General features: G+C 48.4%; 1 protein-coding gene across 5 annotated transcripts in view, besides 2 other annotated features; it reads left to right on the top strand.

Moving 5' to 3' along the window:
* Positions 1-24775, top strand: part of CAPN8 (calpain 8) — a 124086-nt gene that overhangs the window by 31991 nt on the left and 67320 nt on the right. The window contains exons 3-12 of one of the 5 annotated variants that reach the window (NM_001143962.2): positions 4931-5049; positions 5569-5702; positions 6554-6722; positions 7823-7906; positions 10811-10896; positions 13445-13519; positions 14258-14418; positions 17566-17741; positions 21454-21465; positions 24347-24558. In NM_001143962.2, the coding sequence (NP_001137434.1) occupies positions 4931-5049; positions 5569-5702; positions 6554-6722; positions 7823-7906; positions 10811-10896; positions 13445-13519; positions 14258-14418; positions 17566-17741; positions 21454-21465; positions 24347-24558 (1228 nt within the window). Of the gene's footprint in view, positions 1-4930; positions 5050-5568; positions 5703-6553; positions 6723-7422; positions 7687-7822; positions 7907-10810; positions 10897-13444; positions 13520-14257; positions 14419-15429; positions 16382-17222; positions 17389-17565; positions 17742-21453; positions 21466-24346; positions 24559-24775 lie in introns of those variants that run through there. The other 4 variants (XM_017001267.3, XM_017001265.2, XM_017001268.2 and 1 more) reach the window with 4 other exon arrangements.
* Positions 4259-5458: an enhancer, noted in NCBI's record as "CDK7 strongly-dependent group 2 enhancer chr1:223815955-223817154 (GRCh37/hg19 assembly coordinates)". NCBI's record gives its function as "activates an origin of replication core promoter dependent on BRD2, BRD4, P300/CBP, MED14 and CDK7 cofactors, with strong dependence on CDK7, by STARR-seq in HCT116 cells {active_cell/tissue: HCT116}" and the evidence as "EXISTENCE:reporter gene assay evidence [ECO:0000049][PMID:35650434]".
* Positions 5307-5416: a silencer, noted in NCBI's record as "silent region_1841". NCBI's record gives its function as "represses an Ori minimal core promoter by ATAC-STARR-seq in GM12878 lymphoblastoid cells {active_cell/tissue: GM12878}" and the evidence as "EXISTENCE:reporter gene assay evidence [ECO:0000049][PMID:35858748]".

The following is a 24775-nucleotide window of genomic DNA, read 5'->3' as shown; positions in this document are numbered from 1 at the left end:
TTCAGGATTATTATCTCCTGGTGGATTTTATTTTATTTTTTTTCTTTTTGAGGCGGCGCCTTGCTCTGCCGTCCAGGCTGGAGTGCAGTGGTGTGATCTTGGCTCACTGCAACCTCTGCCTCCTGGGCTCAAGTGATTCTCTTGCCTCAGCCTCCTGAGTAGCTGGTACTACAGGTGCCTGCCACCACGCCTGGCTAATTTTTGCATTTTTGGTAGAGACAGGGTTTCACCATGTTGACCAGGCTGGTCTTGAACTCCTGACCTCAAGTGATCCACCTGCCTTGGCCTCTCAAATACATTTCTTTTTTTTTTTTTTAAGAGAGCATTTGTTATAGTCTCCGTTTTGGGACCAGACACAGGCATTACCATCCAGGTCTTCCAGTCTCCCTAGAATAGATTCAACCCAGTGCAATGTGTGTATTTGAAAGGCTATTCCCAACTTTATTTTGGAATTCCTTTTGTGGAATTCTTTTTTCAGAGCCAATTTATGGGGCATACCAAATCACTCTGTAGTCATGCTTCTAATATCAGTTAGAAAAACCTTGGGCTACAAGAAGCATAAATAGGGGGCAAGTTCTTCTTTTATAATAAGAAAACTAGAGGCAGACAGCCCAGGGCTAGTGTAACTTTAATAATGCCCTTGGAGAGCTAGACTCACACTGTGCTCTGCTCTGCACTCTCCTATGCTGACCTTCATCTTGCACCTGCAGCCTTGGGATTGCAAGCTGGCTCTGCACCTCCAAGCACAGTGTGGACTTTCCAGATGGGAAGAAGGAGGAAGGGCAATGGGCAAAAAAGTCTCTGCCAGCCAAGTCTGCCCCACTTCATCAGGACATGGAAACCTTCCCTAAATTCCCATGAAGTGCACCTCTGCTTAAAGCGCATGAGTGAGCACTAACTCCTGAGCAGCCCTAGCTCGAAGGTGGCCAGGAGGGACTTGTCTATCAAGGTATTTCCCAGTGTTTTTGTCTGCCTTATTCACCACCTAACTAGTATGTCAAAGCCTCCTGACTGCTTTTGAAAATTAAAAAATTGAAAATTAGTCAGGTGTGGTAGCTCATGCTTATAATCCCAGCACTTAGAGAGGCCAAGGTGGGAGGATTGCTTGAGGCCAGGAGTTCAGGATCAGCATGGGCAACATAGTGAGACCCCAGCTCTGTATTTAAAAAAAATAGCTCGGCATGGTGGCACATGACTGTAGTCCCAGCAATTTGGGAGGCTGAGGTGGGAGGACTGCTTGAGCCCAGGAGGTCAAGGCTGCAGTGAGCCATGGTTGCACTACTGCACTCATCTGGGCAACAGAGCGAGACCTTGTCTCAAAACAAAACAAAACAAAACAAAACCTATGCTCCAAGATCAAAGCTGTTTTTTTGCTGGCAGTTCCCCAAACAAGTTTCTAAATGTGAACAGCAGAGTAAATGTCCATCTTCCAGAGGACTCTGAAGGGAAGCACATTTGGATATATTCCTTTGAAAACGCATTCTCGTCATGACAATCCATTCACACTTCATGCAGTGACTGGCAAGGATCCAAAAGCCTCCAAACCCACAGCATCCCTTCGAGCCTCTGTGCTTGCTTGCAAGAGCTGGGTAGACCCTGTGAAATGTCAGGAGTGAGGTAGATGAAGAGAAAATTAAACTCTCCTCCAGCTGGGCCACCTCATTTGATGTCAGCAACGGAGGGACATTTTGTTGCCGTGACTTGAATTGTAATATCTAGGGAGTGCTCTGGGTGGGCTGTCGGAAGAAGCTTAGACCGGGAGCCAGAACCTTCACATCGGAAGGCAACCAGGACCATGCCCAGTAATGAGGGCTATGTGGCTGCTCTGATCTCTTTGAGAAGCCACTAGCTTTAGAGGTGTTGCAGAGCAGTCTCCCCCTTCACTCCCCAGAGGACTGGGCTTCTGTGCTTGCCCTACCTTGTTTATCTCCCTCTGCCTGATGCTGGTGAAAGTGAAATCTGTCAGGTTTGATGCAGATTCTTGTTGAATGCCACTTCCCCACAGACTTGGGAGGCTGAGGTGCAAATATATGTAAGATGCTGTTGGAGATTTGCAGAAGAACAAAATATGATTCATTGATTCATGTAGTCATCTGCTTATTTGTTTTTATTCATCAAACATCCGTTGAGCTGCTTCTGTGTGTCAGCCACCTGCTGGGGATGCCGAGATGAGTGAATCCACATTGCTGCTTTGCAAGAAGAGGTCAGAGAGGGATGAGGGAGAGAGAAAAACAGATGTAATCAAGTGGCCTTAGAACTTGCTGGGGAGGTGTGAGGAGGAAGGGCTTGGTGCTGGTAAGACAGGCCAGGGATAGGGGTAAGGAAAGCTCTGCCAAGGAGTTGATGCATGAATGGAGTTTTGAGGCCAGTCTGGGTGCAAATCATGATCTGAGGCAGCTTGTGATAACTCTGCAAGAGAAGCGTAAATAAGGTCTTTAGGACACATACCAAAAAAGCGGTGACTTCTGGCTGGAGGGTAGGCGGTATCAGAGAAAGCTTCATGGAGAAGGGGTAAGATTCATCAAGAAGTTTGCAAGCAGAGGGAACAAACAAGAAAAATCACATCAATGAAAACGACCAGGGTATGTTTTGTACATATCCAAGTTCGATTGGGAGATTAGATTCATAGCGGAGAGTGTAATAGGAAAAAGACTGGAGAAGTAGGTTGGAGTCATATTGTGAAGGGTGTTGATGCCCTGTTAGGTTGTATTTCATTGGTGAGCAATGGAGGACAGTTGCGAGCAGGGGTGTGACATGATCACAGGTGTTCATAGAAGAAAAATGGGCTGAGAGGAGCTGGGTGGGAGGAGGACACTGTGTTATTTTGCTCAACCTTTGGAAGTTGCCTTTTAATGAGAGACTGCCCTGCTTGAGGCTTCTTTGGTGAGAAGTAACATAACTCATGCCAGCCCATCCACATCAACTCTGTTTCCCTCGACTACCAGGTCTAGTCTCACCTAGGAGCCCTGTTGCCATTAGGAAGATAGTGTTTGTCTGTGAAACAGAGCCTGGTGAGAGAGTGAGGCAGGAAGCAGGTTGCCTCCTGGATCAGAAAAGCTCTTCAAAAAGTAATATGGCCAGGCATGGTGGCTTACACCTGTAATCCCAGCACTTTGGGAGGCTAAGATGGGAGGATCACTTGAGTCCAGGAATTCAAAACCAGCCTGGGCAACATAGTAGGATCCTGTCTCTATGAAAAAAAAAAAATTAACCAGGCATGATGGCATGCACCTGTAGTTCTAGTGACTCAGGAGGCTGAGGTGGGAGAATTGCTTGAGACTAGGAGGTTGGGGCTGCAGTGAGCCATGATGGCGCTACTGTACTCCAGCCTGGGCAACAGAGCAAGACCCTGTCTCTTAAAAGAAAAAGAAAGTAAATGAGTATGTGTGTGTGTGAGACAGAGAGAGAGAGCGAGTGAGCGGGAGAGAGAGAGAGACAGACAGACAAAAAGAGAGGGAGAGAGAGAGAGAGGAATTAATTAATTTGGGGTCAGATCATGAATGACTTTGTTGGGAAAGATCCAGGCAGACAGAGGCCAGGGCTTTCTAGGATGACCTGGTGATGGAGCAATTCTGAGTGATGATGGAGATGTTGGCTCCTCAGATGTGGGTTCCTGGCTTACTGCTTGCTCAGGCAACAGGTTTTCTGAGAAAACCATAATGTGTTCACACCTAGAATATGTATATAGCTCTGGCCACAGTGTTAAAAGAAAACTTAGAGTGAGACAAGGTCCACAGATGGTCTCTAAAAGGTTGAAGGGCCTTCCATCTGAACACACATTGAAAAGATTCAGATCTTTGATATGGAAAAGATAAAGGCTAAGATGCACAGGTAGGACTTTGGAGCTGTTTGAATGGAATGAATAGGAGAAACAGGGACTTGTTCACCAAATCTTAGACTCCTAGAGCTAGAGATCTACAATGAAGGTGGAAAGAAGCAGTACCAGGCCAGAAAGATGCAATAGCCTTCACATGATGTAAAGCACGCTTGAGGACACTGAGACCTCAGCAGCTGGTGTGGAATAAGCAAATAAGTAGAGGTGAGCAAAGTTACGTCACTTCTAGGATGATAGATTCGCCATAGGATGCTAAGGTAGGCAGTGGTGCCTGGGGCCCGTGCTACTTCTTTTGAAGTTGACACTGCAAGGGACAACGATGCCTCCCAGGGAAGTGCCACTCAGTGGCATCAGTGTGGTGGGTCCCAACTTGCACAGAAAGGGGTTTTCTGTTTTCTTCTGCATTTCCTTGAATCTCCAATGTGACGAACACCAAAACCCAGGATTTGTAACCTCTCTTGACTTTTATTTCTTCTGCCTCAAATTATGATGATTTAATGCTAAGCAGTATCTCAAGGGAACTTTAAGCAATAAGGCATCAAGGCTCTCCTGGTGAACTCTGAAACAAGAAAAGGCAATACTGTAAACAGACCACGCAGAGCCAGCTCTTCATTATCCAAGGTCAGGAGGGGCAAGGAACATAAACACACACACACACACACACACACACACACACACTCTTACACGTACACATCATAGATTGGATTAACAGCTTCAATGTTTCCCTCAACCAACTTAATCAGAGCTGCTAATAAGGGACCAAAGGGACTAATTTTCTTTTCTTTTCTCTCCTCTCCTCTTCTTTTCTTTTCCACTCCACTGGCTGAATGTGTAGGAGTGGGGAAATGATCAGCATGTGGGGGAGGGGGCAGCCACAGGGAGGAGCAGAGGATCCACTCCCGAGTAAACAAATCCCAAGGAGGCAGAAGAAGCTGATGGCTGCGGGTGCATTTCCAGCACCGGAGGAGGAAACTCTACCTGACTCAGAAGGGAATGTGGCAACGTGGACTCTGGGTTGAATGGGACAGGGTCAGAGAAAGCAGGGCCCCTGCAGGCTGGGCCTGACCAATCTGTGTCCCCTGTGACACTGTGCAGGTGACTGCTGGCTTCTGGCTGCCATTGCCTCCCTGACCCTGAATGAAGAGCTGCTTTACCGGGTGGTCCCCAGGGACCAGGACTTCCAGGAGAACTATGCGGGAATCTTTCACTTTCAGGTACTGTGCTCTGCTCTGGCCCTTTGTTGCTGTTTTCCGTATTCTTAGGGCTCACTGCAGGTCCACTGCGTCAGAAATTCTGGGTTTGGGGCACAGTGACCTATGTCTTAATAATCCCTCTAGGTGACTCTGATGCACACTTCAGTCTGAGAACCTCTGCTTTAATGCATCCATCCAGATATCCACACATCCATCCTCTTCCCAGCTCCCCTAGGCCACGTGGCCTTCAGGAAAGCCCTGTGGACTGAGGGTCAGGAGGTGTGGGTCTGAATCACTTCCTGCTGCCACTAGGTGGCGCTGGGCAAGTTCTCTGATGCACAAACGCAGACCCTGGACTAGATGTTCCCGGGTTCATCTGGCATCTCCTATGTGCACAGATAAGGCAGACACATGTCCTGCTCCTAAGGAGCCAAGACTCGAACACTGATGGCACAGAGTCCCCACGTGAGGTCCCCTGGAGGGACTCCCTTTACACATCTGCTTATTCATGTGAGCAGCCGCTGTGTCCCCCCTCCCCAGTTCTGGCAGTACGGAGAGTGGGTGGAGGTGGTCATTGACGACAGGCTGCCCACCAAGAATGGACAGCTGCTCTTCCTACACTCGGAACAAGGCAATGAATTCTGGAGTGCCCTGCTGGAGAAAGCCTATGCCAAGTAAGTGGGGGAAGCCAGGAGCTGGGAGACGCCAGAGCCTCCCTGAAAGCTCTCACCTGTCCCTCCCACGTCTGCCTCCCCACCCCAAACTCAGGGCGTCATGGCGTCTTTCCCAGCATCCAGACCCCCATGAGCCGGAGAGAGAGCATTTTTCAGTAACTAAGAGAAACAGAAATCTGGGCGGGGAGTTTAGCATCTCAGCTCTGCCTCGGGTGAATGTGTATGTGGTGGGGCCAGCCTCCCTGCCCCTCTGGGCCTGAGCTTTTCCTCTTTCAAATCCCAAGGTAGGTTCCTGGGGCAATGTAAACGTTTAAAAGAATGATGAAGAATAATAAAACAAATGTACTAGATACCAAACTCAACAAAGTGTCTGCTCTTTCCTCAGGAGTTCTTCTCACCAGCGTTTGATGTTCAAAACCTTCTTTGGGGTTCTTTTAATTAGTTTTGTTTACTGATACCCTTTTCTGCAACCCCAGTTCCTTTCCAGTTCTATTTCCCAGCAAGCCTCAGCAGATGCCTCTCAGCCTTGAGGGAAAGTTCTCCTTCTCCCCATCTGTGCCCCCAGCCCCCAGAAACCCAGGCAGCTGGGGCCAACTCTGGAGGGGTTGCCCTTGGCTTTGTAAAGGAGGGGGTGGCTGGAGAGAGGTTGGCTGAGGTCAGTTCCTAGTGAAGTGCTGAGCTGGGCACATGAAACAGTGGCCTAAGCACCTTCCTGGCCCATAGGCAAAATAGGCAAAGAGCCTTCCTTTATCTTCCAGGCCACAGTATGTCCTAGCACTGTCCCGGTCCCCAATCCCCGGGTCTCCTTGCTGAGGGTGCTAATGGAGCATGTGTTCTTTCTTTTCCAATAGGCTTAATGGTTGTTATGAGGCTCTCGCTGGAGGTTCCACAGTGGAGGGGTTTGAGGATTTCACAGGTGGCATCTCTGAGTTTTATGACCTGAAGAAACCACCAGCCAATCTATATCAGATCATCCGGAAGGCCCTCTGTGCGGGGTCTCTGCTGGGCTGCTCCATTGATGTGAGGCATATGGCTTCTCTACTGCCCCACCTCCCCCCACCGCCACCCCTTGTGTGGTAGGGAAGGGATGAGACAGCGGGAGAGAGGCCTAGGAAGGCTTTGGGTCAGAGCAGAGTCTGGAGCTTAGTGGGCAAGTCTAGTGACACAAAGGCCTGAACATATAGGGGCTGGTGAAGACCTAATTAGTGGGTAGGAACTGGGGTTAGTTGCATTGCAGGAGCCCCAATTTCCCTCTCGTTGTTAGAGCCCCTTCAGTACTGCTGGAGTGGCCCTAAGAACATAGTCTAGGATCCCTGGATCCTAGGCCCCCCATTTGCTACCTCCTTTTTGCTAAATAATCTTGAGGTTTTGGAAAACAAATGTGATGATTGATGATACCTGATGGATCTTGAGATCCCTGAAGAAAAGACAAGTTCTGAAACCAGAGGCTGTGGCTGGACAGGAGGCTGAGCTGTGTGGATTTCCAAGGTGGCTGTGGAAACAGAGGCTGGAGGCCCCCAGCCCTGAGGTCCTGTCACCACCTCGGGCTCCTGTGACCAGCTGCCCTCTGGCTGCCCTGTCTTCCTCTCTTGTCCTTACCTGGTGATTTTAGAAATGTGAACGACAAAGTGAGAAGATCCTCCCTTTTTCCTCTCTCTGCAAACCCCAGCAGGAGATGTGGTTTTTGGTGGAGGGGTGGTATGGGGCATGGGAGAGGGGGTGCTGAGGAAATGGGAAGGGTAATGAGGAGTCCACTCAGGGAGAACCTTGGAGGACTGGGACCTGTCCAGAGCCATCAGCATGGAGAATTAGCCTTCTTCAGGCAGCTGGGGGTCACTCTCAGAGAATAAATGACTTCCCAGTTTCTTGGTGGCATTTTGAAGGCTGGTAAATTGTCTTCCAGGCTTGGCAGGCACCTGCACTGGCCCGGAACTACAGGCCTAATTAAAGAGGGAGTCTGGATGGAGATGACTCTTTACCTGAGGTTCATAGCCATGCCTACACCCCTAGTCCCACACTGAAGCCCCCAGTGGCTGTGTAGTGTGTCCTTGGAAAGCATTCTACGGCCGGCCCCTGAGAGGTCAGGGTCAGCCACTGAGTGGACTTTCTTCTCTACGCAGGTCTCCAGTGCAGCCGAAGCCGAAGCCATCACCAGCCAGAAGCTGGTTAAGAGTCATGCGTACTCTGTCACTGGAGTCGAAGAGGTAAAATTGTGTGGAAGGTGGGGAAGGTAACGTGTGATAATATTTCCATGAATCCAAGCCATCTCGACAGGAGGAAAGAGGTGATTACTACTAGAAGGTTCGGAATTGGCTTTTGAGCTTCACTGCCATATTGGGATGCACTCTGCCTGTACAGAACCCCTGACACCACAGATGAGCATTAGCTTTTGCTCATTAGAACAGCTCTTCCGGCCAGGTGTGGTGGCTCACACCTGTAATCCCAGCACTTTGGGAGGCTGAAGTGGGAAGATTACTTGAGGCCAGGAGTTCAAGACCATTCCTGGGCAACATAGTAAGACCTCATCGCTACGAAAAAATTAAAAATTTTTTTTCTAAAACAAAAAAAATAAAAGAAGGTTCTTCTGACTCTTACTCACTTGAAGATGGACAACGTAACCTCTCTGAGCTTTTGCTCAATAGGTTCTAACTAAATGCAAGCCCTCTCCTTAGATGCAGCCAGGAAAGCTGTAGAGATTGTCAGTTAGATTCTACAGATCTTCCAAAAAATATGTTTGTGTGGGCAAAACAGTGGGAACTCACAAAATCCCAAAACAGGAAAAGGGGCAGTAGTCCCAGCTTTTAGGGTGGGGTAGAGTCATGGAAAGGCATGTAAGTATTCCTCACTCTCCAACCCGAGGAAAAAACATGGGCTATACTAGTCATTATTTTTTTTTATTTTTATTTTTTATTTTTTGAGACGGAGTCTCGCTCTGTCGCCCAGGCTGGAGTGCAGTGATGCAATCTCGGCTCACTGCAAGCTCCGCCTCTCGGGTTCACGCCATTCTCCTGCCTCAGCCTCCTGAGTAGCTGGGACTACAGGCGCCCGCCACCACGCCCAGCTAATTTTTGTATTTTTAGTAGAGACGGGGTTTCACTGTGTCAGCCAGGATGGTCTCGATTTCCTGACCTCATGATCTGCCCGCCTCGACCTCCCAAAGTGCTGGGATTACAGGTGTGAGCCACCGCACCCGGCCTATTCATTATTTTTATTTCCTACATTGTGTCTTCTTTCAAAAGGGATTTAAGGTGGCTTACAATGATTTTATTTATTTATTTATTTATTTATTTATTTAGAGACAGGGTCTTGCTCCATTGCCCAGGTGGGACTGCAGTTGCATGATCTTGGCTCACTGCAGCCTCAACCTCCTGGGCTCAAGTGACCCTCCTGCTTCAGCCTCCCAAGTAGCTGGGACTACAGGCAAGTGCCATCATGCCTGGCTAATTATTAATTTTTTAAAAATTTTTGTAGAGACAGAGTCTGTCTGTGTTGCCCAGGCTGGTCTTGAACTCCTGGGTTCAAGCCATCCTCCTGCCTCGGCCTCCCAAAGTGCTGAAATTACAGGTGTGAGCCACCATACCCAGCTAGTGGTTTACCATTAAAAGAACAGACATGATAAAACCACACAACTAAGTAAAATACATCAATCCACGCTGAAGACAGTGCTATAATTGAGAAATTAATTTTGCTTTGGGCTTCCCAATGGCCAAGGCAGAAAGGGAAATGCAATGAATGTCCCACCTCTTGTTATTTATTTAACTGAAATAGGCCAGGCATAGTAGGGTGTGCCTGTAGTTCCAGCTACTCGGGAGGCTGAGGTGGGAGGATCGCTTGAGCCCGGGCAGGCGCTTGAGAGCCTGCAGTGATTGCACCACTTCACTCCTGCCTAGGTGGCAGAGAGAGGCCCTGTCTCAAAAATAAATAAATAAATAGAGTTAAATGAAACAGATGTTCTTTACATGTGTTTGTGTTTCATAAATATGCTTTTCTTTTTTCTTTTTTTTTTTTTTCAGGTGGAGTCTTGCTCTATCACCAGGCTGGAGTGCAGGGGCACGATCTCGGCTCACTGCAACCTCTGACTCCCTGGTTCAAGTGATTTTCCTGCCTCAGCCTCCCGAGTAGCTGGGATTACAGGCACGCGCCACCACGCCCAGCTAATTATTTTTTTTGTATTTTTAGTAGAGATGGGGTTTCACCATGTTGGCTAGGATGGTCTTGATCTCCTGACCTCATGATCTGCCCACCTCGGCCTCCCAAAGTGCTGGGATCACAGGCGTGAGCCACTGCGCCTGGCCCAAATATGCTCTTTAATGAAGTTAATCTCATAAATGGGAATTGAACATGTACATGCAAACATTGGGCTAGGTGAGTTGGGGGATACACAGGAAATGAAGACAATGAGGACCTAACAGCCTACACAGTTGGTGTGTGTATATGTGAATGCCAGTGTGTGTGCAGGGGCCCAAGGGGCTTATGCTTGAGTGTTCAATAAATAGGGGAAAGCAGTATATGTGGATTTAGGAGTATGGGCTTTGGAGACGGACTGCCTGAGTTCCTGGCCTGCGTTCACCACTTACTAACTAGATAATCTCGGATAATGTAACTTCTTTAAGTCTCAGATTTTTGAGCTATGAAATGAAGATAATTCTTTATCTTCTCAGGATTGTCGTGAGTGTTAAATGAGGCAATAAAGCACCTAAAATGCTTAGCACTACACCTCATCTGTAGTACCTGCTCGATAAATGTTAACTGCCGTGCTTTGGTGTTTGTTTGGAGGGCGTTTATTATCATTAGGTCTCATGTATTAAAAGCTCAGTCAATCTTAGTCAACTATAAAATCTAAATCTGAGTTAAAGCAGACATAAGCTTGTTTTTGGGCTAGACTCACTCTTCATTTATTCAAACAAATTATGAAAAATACCTCATTTATTCAAACAAATTATGAAAACACTTGGCCCAAGCCTGAAAAGATGCATTAAAGGAAAATAAAAGTGTGGTCCTTTAGGGACATTTGAAAAATTTAATGCAGATCCTGTCAGGTGCAGACATGCCTGCAAGGCAACAGGAGCATAGTAATTCAGTCGCTTTTCTGTGTATGGAATTTGCAGGTGAATTTCCAGGGCCATCCAGAGAAGCTGATCAGACTCAGGAATCCATGGGGTGAAGTGGAGTGGTCGGGAGCCTGGAGCGATGAGTAGGTTTTTTTCCCCCGCTTCTCCAGTCATCTCTCCCTCTGCGGAAGGGTGTCGTGTAAAACACACAACAATGAGATCGATGTCACAGTGAGTTCAGCAGCACGTCCTGTCTGCAGATCACACAGTGTGTTCAGAAAAGAGTATTAAATGGATCCAGGCTGGGAAAAGCAAAATAAAAACCACTGGGCTGTAGTCTTCGATTCTGGCTTTCTGCTTTGGCATTTGAAAGTTTGGCGGCTCTGTGGAATTTTGCTTTGCGCTGAAAGGTTTTTGTGTTTTTTACCTGACGCACCGTGCTGGTCCAAAGGTCAAATCGATCACTCACAGTCTGTTTCTTTCCACTCCACAAACACTGGACACTGACAAAGGCCAAACCCCTCAGCACCAAGAAGAAACAAGGATGCTGAGAAAATGAAATTTGACCCTAGGAGCCCCGGGCCCTGGCAGCAGTGATGAATGAGGCAGCGGCACTCGCTCCTACCCTAGGCACGTTTGATCACTGACTGGAGAGACTCCTCTTGGGCAGGCCTCTCTGCTGATGAGGGAAAGTCAGTCAGAGGTGGTGATGTCCCAGGACAGCTGGGCCCTGGAATCCATGTCCCCATCATGCAGGAGGGTGGAAAGCATGGGGTGGTTTCTGTCCAGTGAGCACAGCTGGCCTGGCAGAGGCAGGTTAGTGTGGGGGAGGAATTAGAATTAGCCAGTCTCAGCTGGGTACAGTGGCTCAGGCCTGTAATCCTAACACTTTGGGAGGCCTAGGCGGGTGGATCACTTGAGCTCAGGAGTTCGAGACCAGCCTGACCAACATGGTGAAACCCCGTCTCTACTAAAAGTACAAAAATTAGCTGGAAATCGCTTGAACCCAGGAGTTGGAGGTTGCAGTGAGCCGAGATTGGGCCACTGCATTCCAGCTTGGGCAACAGAGCAAGACTCCATTTAAAAAAAAAAAATAATTAGCCAGTCTCATGGACAAAGAACCACCAGAAATGAAAATGGTCACAATAATGCCCCCTCCCAATACGTCCTTAATCCTCAAGTGCTGTCGGTACTCTGTGATGCCACCAGGGCTTTCGAAGGGGACATCGCCAAGTTTAATCACAGCATCATGACTGCTCATGTCATGACCACGCAGAGGGGCAGTAACTCCCTTCAGGTTGTGTCACGAAGAAACACGTGTCTCTAGGGCCACACATGAGCCTCCTGTAGGAAGGATTTTTCATTCTACTGTGTAAGATTGAGCAAAACCCAAAACCTCAGTTCCGCCAACTTCCCTAAAAGGATGACAGGGCCACGTGAAATTGAAACCCTGAATGTGGGCCATTCTTACCAAAAGTCACTACCGAGCTGTCCAAAGGGCTTGTTTGACTTTCTCTCCTTTCCCTGAGCACCCGCTCCCTGGCAGGCGGGAGGTGGTGACTGTCAAGTCCTGGAGGCCCTACCAGCTGGAGATGCAACCTGGGATAATTATATATATCAGCTATTGGAGGAGGAGGGTGCCGAATCTCTAAGGCAACATCCCTAAGCTCAGCCCAGGGATTAGTGAGATTTTACTTAAAAAAAAAAAAAAAAAGTAAAAAAAAGAAATTGGAGCAGTAGGTCAGATCTGGAATTTTCCAACTCCTGCCCTAATCTTTGTTTATAACAAGCACATTCTGAGATTTGGTTTTAATCAAATTAATGTTTCAATGAATTGAAGAGGCTCTGGGAATTGTCGTGCTGACCCCCGGGGTCTTAAAGCCTGGCTTGGAGGAAGAGGCTGCGCTGGAGTGTGCCCCAGCTCTTATGCTGGGGAGAGAAGGTGCTTAGGTTTTGCTGAAGGTATTCAGGCAGGGATTTTTTTTTTTTTAAAGATGGATCTTGATACTGCTCTGTTACTTAGATGTCACATACATATTTCAGGAAAACCTAACTTCGTAAAGGTCAGGAAGCTGGAGATGGCATTCAAACAAAGTGCATAGATATTGCCCTTGAAAGGCCACCAGCAGGAGGTCTCACAGGGTGACGTTTCTTCTGGGAAATTGCCGTAAAACTGGGCTGGATGATCATTCTCGTGGGTGTAAGGAAGTGAACCATGTCCATGTCCCCAGAGCTGGTTAGACTCTGTCAGCATATTCACCCTAGACTGCTGGATAAGCCAGAGTGATAAGTGACTAATGGGTACTGGAGTGCCTGCCTTTCCAGTGACGAGAACTCATCCACGTTCTCTCCTGGGCCTCCCCATTCCTGCAAACAGGGGCCTGGGAGTCTTAATTAGAAATGTCAAATTTGCCCTAGAGAGTAAAAATTAGAGCATAATGTTTGAGTCATAATGTTCCTGGCACATGTCCAAGGCCATCGTGCTAGTGCCCATGGAGTCCGTGTCCTGGGTCTGTGTCCCTTCCCCAGACAGTGTGCTCGCGCCACACTGTCCATTCTGCCTTTCTGTCTGCCTGCAGTGCTTTTGGTATTTTGTTTCTGGCTCTTAGGGGGAAGCTTAGCTGCAGTAAACAGCTTGCCCTGCTTGTAGAACCTCTCAGGAGCGAGCATCTCTGCTTGTTTTCCCCTCAGTGCACCAGAGTGGAATCACATAGACCCCCGGCGGAAGGAAGAACTGGACAAGAAAGTTGAGGATGGAGAATTCTGGTGAGAGAGTTTTCTGCTGAAGCGCTGTCCCATTGGTGATGGGTCCATTTTCAGTTCTGATGTGAACTCTAGGTCTCTGGGTCTTCCAGGAAGGCGACATGGTTCCTGATCATGGTGAATTCATTCTTCTCCTTTTGTCCTGGTATAATTCCACCTCTATACCAGCACGTCTAAAGCACTGAAACCATGATATCTAGGCCCTCAACCTGGCTTAGCTATCAGCCTGTCTTTCTCAGTTCTATTATCTTTCCAATGAACTGAGAGCACTGCTTCTATCTCTTTAAGCTAAGATTTACCTACCATCAATATGGGAGAACTTCCTTTGCTAGTGAGCTAAGGAAGATAATAAGGATACTCCTTGAATATGGTACGGCTTAGCTGGACATCACTCCGAATTAAACAAAAAGAAACCTCTTGTGAGCTTAGACTTAACCCAATCTAGAGGCAGAGGCTTTGTTGAGATGACCTCCTGGGGTCTTTTGCAGTTTACAGTTCAGATCCTTTGCTTGGTTGTTAAGATATGTGTGTGGGGCTCCCTGTAAGAGCCAAGAAGCTAGCGCTAGTGAAGAATGTGGACTGTTGTCTCTGCGTGTTTGTATCAGTGTGCTGTAGGAAAGATCAAGCTAGCCCACGGCCTCTAGGGCCTGTGCCACAGGGCTCCTTCCCGTGCTCAGTATGCGTGCCTTTAATCACAACCCAGCCCTCTTCACTGAGAGCCCTCTGGTGCCTCTGCCCCAGGATGTCACTTTCAGATTTCGTGAGGCAGTTCTCTCGGTTGGAGATCTGCAACCTGTCCCCGGACTCTCTGAGTAGCGAGGAGGTGCACAAATGGAACCTGGTCCTGTTCAACGGCCACTGGACCCGGGGCTCCACAGCTGGGGGCTGCCAGAACTACCCAGGTAAGGTGAAGGGCTGCCTTGGCCCAACCTCCTCCAGCTTATCCTCCCTGAGCTGGGTCATTTTATGTAATTTTTTGGTGCTATTTTGTGTGTTTTTTTGAGACAGGGCCTTGCTCTGTTCCCCAGGTTGGAGTGTAGTGGCACGATCTCTGCTCATCACAACCTCCGCCTCCCGGGCTCAAGTGATCCTCTCACCTCAGCCTTCTTAGTAGCTGGGACCACAGGCATGCACCACCATGCCTGGCTAATTTTTAAAAAATGTTTTTGTAGAGACAGGGTCTCACCATGTTGCCCAGGCTGGTCTCGAGCTCCTAGGCTCAAGTGATCCACCCACCTTGGCCTCCCAAAGTTCTGGGATTACAGTTGTGAGCCACCGTGCCCAGCCCTATGTGTTAATCTTTGGATAAGGCCTTTGGACTTTGTTCTTTGACTTCTGGGCACCCTCTGGAGGCCCTGCTTCTCCCTAGGGCTTGGAGGCCAGGGTTGTGAGGGTGGGCAGTGGCTCTGCAGCCGCTCAGCTGCAGCCTGAACCATGTGTTCAAACCATCCCTGCTTCACCCACCTGCCCTGCCCGCAAAGGACGTGCTTTCCACACTAGCCCTGCTCTTGGCACCTTATGCTAAGGCCTCCTGTTCTTCCCTTGGGCTTTTGCCCCTTCCTCCCCACTCCCCTCCCCACACCCAGCTGGCTAGCAGTCACCCTGCTGACCTCTGGGACAGAGTGGCTGATGGTGCGCTAGGGGAACACGGGTACAACATCTGCTGTTTCAATAGGCTGCATCCAATAGAGCTGCTGTTTCACTGTGTGTTTGTGCCTGAGTTGGAGGTGGAGGGGCAAAGACAGCGTGGGCCGTGATGGCCACACACAGGGCATGCGTGTCATGGGGACTCAGACCCTGGTGGAGATAGTATGGTGCAAAGCATGGCCTCCGCACTAACCCTGGGTCCTCACCTGGTGCAAGGTGGGAAGCTTTCCTGGCTCGCAGAAGATCACTAATGTGTCCCTGTGTAGGCTCCTCCTAGGTTGAATCAGCTGAGGCAGCACCTGATGAAGAAACTCAGGAAGACAGCCCCACATCTCTAAGGAGAAATGAAGAAAAGCAAATCCTGCTCTCTCTACTTTTCACCTCCTGCTCCCCATGTTCCCTGCCTGGTTTGCTGTTGATCTGTTGATTGACTTAGACTGTAAGCGCATGGGGCAGGGCCAGTCACTTTCTTCTCATGACAGAGCTCACTGCAGGGCTGTGCTCGGTGCTAGGGAAGCAGCATTAGAATAAAACCCCACCTGGATGCAGTGCTGGGTCTTGACAAGTTCTCTCTTCTTTCATCACCCATCCAACCCAAAGCTCCCGGTTCAGGCAGCTGTGACCAGAGTGCTGAACAGAGAGGAAGGAAAGGGGTCCACATCCTGCCCTTGTTGCTTGATTTAGACTCTGGGAAGGGCATTTCCCTCTTCTGAGCTTCAGTTTCCTAGTCCTCCAGATGGGGTTCAACCTTCCAACCTTACTGGGTCACTGCAAGCCTTGGAACACAGAGTGTGTAGGGAAGCACTTTGTAAACTGTGTAGCATTATATAAATGGGAGTATTATTTTTATGGCCCATTCTCTTCCTCCAGTACTGTTAAGGAGTAAACAAAAAATGTATGGATTGCAGTAATGTTGCATTTGGGAGAAATTAAAATATGCTCACCATTAGCAAGCTCTTAGAAAATGTGGAGGAAATTTGCATGGATCATTTTGGGAGCTCAGAACTGTAGGGGGTGCACAAGGTATCTGGATGCACCAAATCACAGTCCCATCCATGCTGCCAACTAGCTGTCAGGAAGACATGGATAGTTCCTGCCCTTTGGTAGTGATGGAAGTATAGGCGATTACAGATTTTTTTTTCCATCTCCTATGGGATCCACAGATATCCGGCTTTAAAATCCATAAACTTGAGCCCTAAAACAAACAAACAAACAAAACACAGCAACAAAAAAACAAAACAAAACAAAACAAACAACCCCCCCCCCCAAAAAAAAAGTGGAAGTGGGGATTCTGAGAAGGTGGAATTGAATAAGTAATCCTACTGTAAAGAAAAGTGATAATCAATGGCTCTTGGTCACCTGTGAATGCCTTGTTATTTTCCAAGTTAGACTCTTCTTTAAAGGATGTAAGGAAAAATCCCATGCCCTTCCACTTCTTTTTTCCTCCCGGGCACATCATTATTGAAATTGTTGAGGCCCTAGAGTGGAGACACCTGTCAGGCGTGCCTTCTGCAATTTTGCTCTGCCACTGGACTCTGTCATAGACTTGCTGCATATCCTTGGATGATCCTTTTAATCTCTCCGTGCCTTGGCTTGTGTACTTACTATTCTGAGAGATTTAAAAAAAGCCATCTTTGAAATGAAGGAGTCTTTTTCAATATCCATACGTGGTGTGGCAGGACTGCTTCTTAATTGCCAATTGTGATTCCTCATGCATTATTAAATGACTTTCTCTTGAAGAAAGTGTGTCTCATCAGTGGGCTGCAACACTGAAGCCATCCTGTGAGGCCCCTGGGGTGATGGACAGCAGATTAGTTCTCAGGGGTGCCGCAGGCTGTGCTCTGCAGCTGGGGCCCTCTCAGAGGGAGAATAGGTGTCAATCAGATGGCAAGAGCAGTTGTCTTAATAGTGTCACGGAGAGACCTTTTTGGTAGCTAGTCTCTTCAGGGACTTTCTCCTCTACTGTCCTGGGGACATGCTTTTTACCCAGAGATCTCCCTTCCTCCAGAAGGTGGGTTTGCCTTCACATGTCAAGTGCTGAGAGCAAGGTGATGTTAAGTCTTTCCCCAGGAAGACTTGGAGGCAGTGCTGCCCAGTGTAGCCCTCGGATCATGGGATCCTGAATATTCCCAGTCAAGCACTTCTGGGCTCCTCGTTGATCAAATGGACAAGCACACATTTCCAAATGCGATGCCATATGTCTGTGTGTGTGGATGTGTAGGAAGGTAGGAGGAAATGCCTGACCACCTTGTAAAGAACACTTTCTGAGGCCTGCTTACTAGGCACAGTTTGGATGGAGCTGTGCATTCATTAGGATGATCAAGTTTCTTCCCTTTTACTTTATTCTTCTTCATCTCCTCACCCGCTACGTGGGGAACCACCATCACCTGGGTGACTTCCAGCCACGTACTGGACCAATCCCCAGTTCAAAATCCGTTTGGATGAAGTGGATGAGGACCAGGAGGAGAGCATCGGTGAACCCTGCTGTACAGTGCTGCTGGGCCTGATGCAGAAAAATCGCAGGTGGCGGAAGCGGATAGGACAAGGCATGCTTAGCATCGGCTATGCCGTCTACCAGGTACTGCTGTGCTGGGTTTGTCCTTCATTATACACTTGATGTTTTGGGGCTGAATATCTTGGCCAGTCATTGTAGCACATCTTTCCTATTGCTGGAGTATTCCTAATCGAGAAGCGTCCTTGCTCCTCTATATACCTCTCCCAGTGGCCTTACTGAGGCCTGAATTCCACATTTAGAGATTCATTCCTATGGCTTAAGTCTCTGCTGTTAACATTGAGATGTGTGATACATTAACCTTTGCCTGTCATTGAGGGCTCAGTGTACATGTGTTCATTAGACTCTTTTCCAAGTACAGGCTTCCCCAGGGACAAGAGCCAAGAACATGGGGGCATAAGGCACTTGAGGTGGCACAAGGAAGATGAGGGGCATCACTGAGTCAGGGAAGGAGGCTGGATATGGGAGCCAAAGACAACTATTCCCTGGGAGGCCTTGAGACACTTGGAGCACACAGGGCATGAGCTGGGGTGATGGAAACCACGTGCCCATTTTCAGTTCTGGTGTCTCTGAACTCTGGAATACAGCTGTCTCTGGGCTCACGCTGCAGTCCCTGACTAATATGCCAGTTTTCCTGGCAGCCACCCCTCTACAGACTTAACAGCCTCACAGATATGTTAAAGCAAGACCTTTGTGTCTTGACAAGTCTAGCCAGAAGCAAATTGGAATCCACTTTTTTATACAGGCAAAGACTCCTTATAGCAAATTCCAGCGGGGCTCATGGTGGCCATTTTTAAATCAATTTTATTAAAGGAATTTCTTGGGAAAAATACAATTCTAATCAGGAAGACCAAGAGCTGTCTGGAGGCCCAATATCTCAGTATAAATTAATGTATGAAAAAAATATTGTAATAAGAAACCAGTAAGGAAATAGTGCAATGGTCGAGATCCTATCTGCACCCCACACTTTATTTCTCATATTCTGGAATTTAGGGCTTTAGAGTTTAGGGTGTATATGTGCATGTGTGCACATGCACGAGCATGCGAGTATATTTTATGTTGAAGAATGGGAGTTGGAAAATAATTGCTAATTGATGGCAGGAGAAAGGAATTGCAAATAAATAAACTCCAATTCTACTCCAGTGTGGCTCTTTCATCTCCACCTAGAATGTAAGTAGCACAAAGCCAGACTCTGTTTGAAGAGATAAAAACCTGAGTAGGCACTTAGTGTATGCGCATCAATTCAACAAACTGTAGTGAGCATCTATTATGTGCCGGGTGCTGTGCTGAAAGCTGAGGACATGGAGGATTATCACATAGTTACTGCCCTCAAGGTGCTCACAATCTGAAGTGGAAAGTGAGATGCACACTCCACTGGCAACAGAGCAGGTCAGATCTGCTGTGATGGGGACCTGACACAATGGGCTGGGTTCACCTCAGCTTCATCGAGGAGGAGATTTTGATGAGAACCTTGAAAGATGAACTTGATTTCAAGGGAGAACATTCCAGCCAAAAGGACATTTCTTGGCAGCTTGAAAGTTAAGTGATGGTTTTGGAGAGTCAATAGTAGGTGGGCATGGCTGCAGGGTGGGCTACTCAGTTCTTCATCCATCAGGCCTACCTTTTTTTTTTTTTTGAGACGGACTCTCACTATGTCGCCCAGGCTGGAGTGCAGTGCTGTGAACTCGGCTCACTGCAACCTCCGTCTCCCAGGTTCAAGCAATTCTCCTGCCTCAGCCTCTTGAGTAGCTGGGATTACAGGTGCGTGCCACCACATCTGGCTAATTTTTGTGTTTTTAGTAGAGATGGGGTTTCACCCATTTTGGCCAGGCTGGTCTCAAATTCCTGACCTCAGGTGATCCACCCGCTTTGGCCTCCCAAAGTGCGGGCATTAAAGGCGTGAGCCACTGCACTCAGCCAGGCCTACCTTATATAACCAGACCAGCAAAGCATTCTTTCAAAGGGACTGAAATAGCTTTGTGTGGCATGACATTTGCGCTCATAAATAATATATAAAGCATATCAGTTTTTTAGTCATCAAATTATAGCTGCTTATAAAATATTCCAGTGTGTGTGATCTGTGGTCCTTCTATATCTGGCCACAGGCATATAATTTAGAGCATGACATCCATAAGTGAAAACAGTTTAAAAGTCAGGTTAAGAGGGTATCAGAAGTAGCTGGGGTTATAGGGAGTAGCTGGGGTTGCAGGGAGTGGGTGCCATATTCTCATTCCTGTATCTCCCTTCTCTTGCTTTAACTGGAGTTTGGATTGAGGATGAAAACCTGCTGCTGACTGAGAAGCAGCCAGGTGCCTCCAAAGACTAAAGAGCCCTCCTTGTCTGGCCTCCTCTCTCTCCCCTCTATCTTCCTGCAGTGATGCCAGGCCAGCCTGTCATTTGCAGTCAGGATCCTGCATTTGAAAGATGACTGTTTCTTTCCATCCACCCATGGGCAGTGGCTAAGGCCTGCTCCCTTACCTCGCTGCTCTGGATTTGTGCCACCAAGAGGCCCCACCTGCCTGGCTCAGTTTCTGCTGGGTGATTCTTGGTAGGGTGGATCTGGAGCATACTGATGGCAGCAGAGGTGGTCAAGTTGTTTGTGGAAAGACGGCCCATGTGGTTGGGCAAGCCCCTGCCAAGGGTGTGTAAAGGCTATTAGGCCAGGAGCTGACAGGAAGATACTTGTGAGGCCTCTGCATGGGTGATTTTGGTTTTACACTCAAAATTAGAGGAATGACTGTGACCCTGGACTCTTCTACTTCTGCTGCCAATGACCCATGGGGGCTCCAGAAGTGAGCATGCCAGCTGATACACATTTTCTGTAATATTGTTGTTTTTCAGAGTTATAGGCAGTTGACCATAGACCTAAACCACAAATAATGGATGGTCTTCTGGTCAAAAGGGCCTATGTGTCAGGGACAAAGAATGGAAAGGGACAAATTATGGGGTCTGAATCCTCTTCTCTAGCCTGGCATAGGAACCCCAGGCATGGGAAAGCTTCTACTCTGGATCTGAGAGCTACTCTCTTATGGGAGTCAACACTTCCAGTTGCATATAATAAAGCCCAACTCGAGCTAGGCTAGTGAAAATAGTGTACCAGCTCATGAAACCAAATTAAGGGAAGGAGATGAAGGCTTGGGACAAGGGACTTGGATACTACCAGGATTCTTTCTTTCCACATCTCCTCTCTAGTGCTGATGACATTGTGCTAGTCTAGATTTCTTCATTCCCTAATATCACTAGCATTAAGAAAGGAGTCCCTTCTGTTAGTTCCAATTCAGAAATCCCAGAGAAGTAAGTCTCTGATGGGCTCAGCTTGGGTCATGTGCCTGTTCTTGAACCATTTCACCATAGCCAAGGGCAGAATAAACTATGGCTCAGGTTGAGTGAGATTCCCCCACTCTGGTCAAACTCTTGATCTTGGACACCAGGTCTGTAGGTCTGAAGAAGAGATTAGCTCTCATTGAAACCCCAAGGCTATTACTCCTGAATAATTTGAGATCTTGGTAGATTCTACAACTAGAAAATAAGAAAGTAGAACCTAGAAATCTGGTGGTCCCCCACCAGATTTCTAGGATCCTATTTATAGATGGCCTTGAAATTCATCAGTAGTGTTCCAGTTTCAGAAATGCTGACTGGCTTCTCACTTTAGCACAAATGTCTCCTCAGTTGCCCCAGGACTGCACAGTCTGTTTGCAAGACATAGGGAGAGAGGAAAAGGAGCAGAAGGAGGACCTTGGAGCTCTCAGGTGACCTGCTCTTTTCTTCTGCCCCACAGGTTCCCAAGGAGGTATGTGAGTGCTGACAGAGATTCCTTCCTTTGGTGAGAAATAGCTTGGCTGCCTTCAGGATGGGCAGCCAGCAGCGTCTGTTTCCTGTGGTAGAAGCTGGTTGTTCCACAGCTCTCACATGATCCAGTCATGAATCAAACCACATGAGTAGGCTGGTAGCTCTGAGAGTGGGTGAGGACCATTGCAAGTCCCATCTGTCAGGCCCTCATGGAAGGAACAGTGGTGACCTTTTTCCCCATGCCCCTGGTGGTCTGAACAAGGTGATTCCAATGGGCAGCCAAGGTTGAGAACCAGTGTTCTATCTGGGCTTCCTCTAGCTGGAGTCAGTTGCACTAATTATGTATAGGTGCATCCACCCTGCTCAGCTTTACCCCAGTTCTTCTGGGTTTTCAAGCTTGGCTAGCCATGAAGCATGTGCCAGCAAGGCTCAATTCATCAGCTCTAGTGTATGCCTTGATCCAAGGCTGCAGATTACTGGTCCACCTGCCCTTGGCTCACAAAGTGCATGTTATTGATTACAGAGGGAACAGACAAGGAAGTGAATGGTTTAGAGCAAATACCTCTTACTGATGCAGGGCAGGTGAGCCCTCAAATTGGGGCTTAGCCTGGGAGGGTTCTTGGCTTCACCCAGGAAAAAATTCAAGGACCAGACAGTGGTGTTAGCAACTTTTATTGAAGTGGCAGGGTAGAGCAGCAACAGAGGTCCTTGCAGAGCAGGGCTACCTCATAGTCAGTGAGCCCACAGTAGCAGCTGACAGGCAGGTCCACACTCATATTTATACCAACTTTTAATTATATGCAAATTAAGGGGCAGATTATGCAGAAATTTCTAGAAAAAGAATGTTAACATCTGGGTTGTCAGGTTGTTGCCATGGAAAGGGGCAGTAACTTCTGGATGTTGCCAAGGCAACAGTAAACTGATAGGGCACACTGGTGGGTATGTCTCATGGAGAGGTGCTTTCACCTCTTCCCTGTTTCAGCTAGTGCTCCATTTGGTCCAGCGTCCTGCTGGGAGTTGAGTCCTACCTCCTACCTCATTACTACTGGAAAATAATTAAAACCAAAGCTGATTTAAGTCTGGGTGATGGTGGTTCCCATCAGAAATGCCCCATTTATATGAGAGAGAGGTGACGTGCACACACAATGGAGCTTTCTCCAGCAGCACCTCACAGTGCCCTCAATGTGTCACCCTGGATCCTGTGCTCTACGAGTGCCGGGGGGCCTTCAGGACAACAGTTGTCAAACTTAGAATGTGCTTCTGAATCCCCTAGAGGGCGTGTTGAAGCACAGATTTTTGGGCCCTGCTCCTGGAGTTTTTGATTCTTTCAGTCTAGGGTGGGGCCTGAGAATTTGCATTCTAACAAGTTACCCTGGGGTGCTCCTGCTGATCCTGATCCCACACTGAGAACCACCCTTAGTTAAACCTGCCCAACCTCCATCCTGTAACTTTGAGCTGAGCTATGTCAAGGGCAGATGTGGGGGCCAGGGACCTTGTGGCACCTGCTTACTTGGGGTCCCTAGTAGGACAGAGTCTTACCTAGATCTTGCCTCAGTGTCCTCCAGTTCCCACTCTGGCCCCCAAATAGGACTTCTCTAACCTGCTCCACCCCTGGATTCTTGCTGGAACTCAGTTTGCCCCCTTCCCAACCCAAGACAAATTAGAGTAGCTTCCTTACTTCAACTCTCCTGAGTGCTTTCTCCTACCAGTGCCCTGTCTCCTCCCTTTGCTACCATCAGGTATGGCAAGAATGACCTTTAACTCATGACATGTAGGCCTTGGTCACATCCTCTCTGGCCACACCACCAGCATTCTCCTGCCCAGAATGTAAGCATTTTTAGGGAGAATCTCAAGGACTGTGGGCACCCTAGTGGCCGGGTTAGTGGGGACTGCCTGAGGGCTCTATGTGGAGTCCTGACTAGGGTAGTGGGGGCAGGTGGCCTGCTTCCTTCTTTGCTTAGCAGATCTGTAATCCAAAGAGGGTCTGATGACCAAGAATGAACACTGTCCACTCTGGGGTGGACATTTCAGCTCTGGGTCACACAGAAGTTAACAGCCCTTGCAGTGTATCAGCACCTGGCCTCTGTCACAGGCATCTTGATGAAGATTGATGGTAAAGACACAGTGTTATGGGGAGGCTTAATTACAGCAATAATAACTTTGGCACCTGTGTTTTGGAAGCACTCTGCAGTCACTAATTAACCTGTGTCATGCACCAACAGCCTCCCACCTCCCCGCAACAAATAAGTGGGTCTTGGAGAGCATCGTCGCCTGTTGAGGAGAGTCGAGGCCCTGGGGAGGCTGGGGGGACCCCAGACTAGGCCTAGCTGTGGCCGCCCCCTCTGCCTGTCTCTTTTAGAGCTGCCTCCCTGGGTTCCCAGACTGACCATCCTAGTCTCTTTGCAGAGCAGTTTTCACAGATAGTCAAAGGTGAACAAGTTTTTGTGGCAGCTTTTGCTTGAGGACTAGGATTTAAGCTCTTTTCTCCAGCCTTGGGCCTGTACTGGGAAGATCAATGCCACACTCCCAGAGACAGCTGCAGAATGAAAGAGCCTATTGGATTAGAGAGGAAAAATATCCAGAGAGAAGCTGAGCGCACACTAGAGACCCTGTCCCTCAACCTTCGTTTAACTGGGGAGGCCCAGAGGTCAAGGTCACACAGTCAAGATCAATGCCTCAAACAGGGCCTGGCACCCAGAAGGCACTGAAAATACACTTGATGATTGACATACAGTGAGTTCACAACAGAATCCACGGCCTCCTGATTCTTGGTGCAATGGTAAAAATCAATAATTCCTAAATCAGCACAATAAAGCTGAACTCTTGGGCTCTCATCTTCCAGGATTTAACAAGAAATTGACTCTGCTTATTGTTTCGTGCAGCTGGAGAGTCACACGGACGCACACTTGGGCCGGGATTTCTTCCTGGCCTACCAGCCCTCAGCCCGCACCAGCACCTACGTCAACCTGCGGGAGGTCTCTGGCCGGGCCCGGCTGCCCCCTGGGGAGTACCTGGTGGTGCCATCCACATTTGAACCCTTCAAAGACGGCGAGTTCTGCTTGAGAGTGTTCTCAGAGAAGAAGGCCCAGGCCCTGTGCGTCTCCTTCCCTCCGTGGTGGGGAACAGTTGTCTGTGGGCCCACGAAGGGAAATGGCCCCATGCAGGTGCAGGACCCACCCCAGCTCCCAGTACATGTTCCCAGAAGAAGCCTCTAAGAAACTACAAGGCCAAAGGACCCTTCACTGGGTGTCCCCCTCCTACCCCTCCACCTTGCTCTATAGGTCACGGAGAGAAAGAGAACCAGACCAGCA

This window comes from Homo sapiens, chromosome 1 (assembly GCF_000001405.40).
Source record: "Homo sapiens chromosome 1, GRCh38.p14 Primary Assembly".
In the NCBI taxonomy this organism is placed as follows: Eukaryota; Metazoa; Chordata; class Mammalia; order Primates; family Hominidae; genus Homo; species Homo sapiens.
The sequence above is the reverse complement of the archived record's forward strand: the minus strand, read 5'-3'. Positions and strand labels throughout refer to the sequence as shown.